The sequence below is a fragment of the Homo sapiens genome, chromosome 4 (assembly GCF_000001405.40).
Source record: "Homo sapiens chromosome 4, GRCh38.p14 Primary Assembly".
Lineage (NCBI taxonomy): Eukaryota > Metazoa > Chordata > Mammalia > Primates > Hominidae > Homo > Homo sapiens.
In genome coordinates, this window is record NC_000004.12 from 177,190,872 (window position 1) to 177,192,505 (window position 1,634).

Consider the following 1,634-nt stretch of genomic DNA (forward strand, 5'->3'; position numbering starts at 1 on the left):
GTCCTTAAATTTTTTATTTAGAATGAGGTGATACATTAGCCAATTGATAATATATATAACTTTGATCTATATGTTTACATTAGATAAAATATATTCGCAAATTGAGTTAAGTGACAAATGTAATTGCTACCATTTACAATAAAGTAGACATGTTAGATATCTTCCTTATCTAATTTTATTTCTAACTTCATAGTTAAAATTTGTGAGCCCTTCCTTATCTAATTTTATTTCTAACTTCATAGTTAAAATTTGTGAGCCAGAAAGTGGAGACACCAAGGTTAATGATTAATCTCTCCAGTACTAAACTAATTCTGTTGTTAACAGGGTGAACTTGGAAACATCCTAGTAGGAAACACCACTGCTTGTGAAAGGAAGAACAGACCTGAGTAAACATGTGGAGATGAAAGTGTGTTTTTTTGCTTTCTTAGAGGTGAATCCATAAGCTCCACAAGCCCTTGTGTAGCTTGTCGAAGGCTTTTCAGAGTATGCCACAACCAAGTTGCTGAGTGCTGAGTAATTACAGGGAGTGCAATATAACCATGTAAGGAAGATGCTGGAAGGCATCGTGGACACAGAGAAGCATTTCCTGGCTGGGAGTGGTGGGGTGCGAGAGTCAGGAGTGAGGCTGAAATTAGCATTATTAACTCAAAGTTGGATGACTGGTGATTAGGGAGTAGGTTAAAAAGCCAGTTTTATTGTTAAGGATGATCTCTAAAGATGGACACTGAGATACTCGAGGAGGAAAGAAAAGAGCTTCTATCGGAGGATTGTGAGCCCTTTCAAATTATTAGGCCGAGAGACATTAAACTGAGACAGCAGTCACATCCTACTCCCCACTGTCAGCTATGTATTCATCTATTGAAACTGCTTGCCATTGCCACAGATAGAGATGCATTAACCTAATAATGCTCCCGGGACACTATGTCCCACACCCCATAGCTTAACAATGCATAGCCAATCAAGAATCAGTGTGATTTCTTCAAACCAATGAGCATTCCTGACAGAACTTTGTATCAGCTAACTCCCTATCCCTTTATTAGAATTAAAAACCTGCCTATAATAAAAGCCAAATAGAGCTCACATCCAAGGTTACTTGGGGCTGAGTTTTCCAGGCAGCTGTCCTCACTTTGGCTCAAGTAAACTCTTTAAATCACATTTTGTGCTTCAGGCTCTTCCTTTTAGGTCAACATTTATTACCTGAGTAGTGTACTCTAAGAACTCCCAGCTCAAGTGAGTAATTTTAACATGTCCCACGTGGTCGTCCCGCTATCTGGAGTGAGGCTTTTCCTGCCTCCCACCGTCTCAGGCCGAAGCTTCCCTTTCATTAGGAGACAGAAGATGTCTGGAGTCCTGAATCTTTATAAGTAGTCTGTTGTGCAATGTGTGAAAAGGACCGCTGGGTAAAGTCTTGCTGGATACAAAAGAGCATCAGTCTAGCTGGAAAGATTAATGAACTGCCTCCTGCCAATGTGTCCGGAATTGGTGGGTTCTTGGTCTCACTGACTTCAAGAATGAAGCCGCGGACCCTCGTGGTGAGTGTTACAGCTCTTAAGGTGGCGCGTCTGCAGTTTGTTCCTTCTGATGTGTTCGGAGTTTCTTCCTTCTGGTGGGTTCGTGGTCTCACTGGCTCAGGA

The 1,634-nt window shown here is 41.2% G+C and overlaps 1 annotated feature.

The window, feature by feature from the left end:
• Nucleotides 583–1,184: an enhancer, noted in NCBI's record as "OCT4-NANOG hESC enhancer chr4:178112608-178113209 (GRCh37/hg19 assembly coordinates)". NCBI's record gives its function as "activates a minimal SCP1, AML or CMV promoter by ChIP-STARR-seq in primed H9 embryonic stem cells {active_cell/tissue: H9 hESC(primed)}" and the evidence as "EXISTENCE:reporter gene assay evidence [ECO:0000049][PMID:30033119]".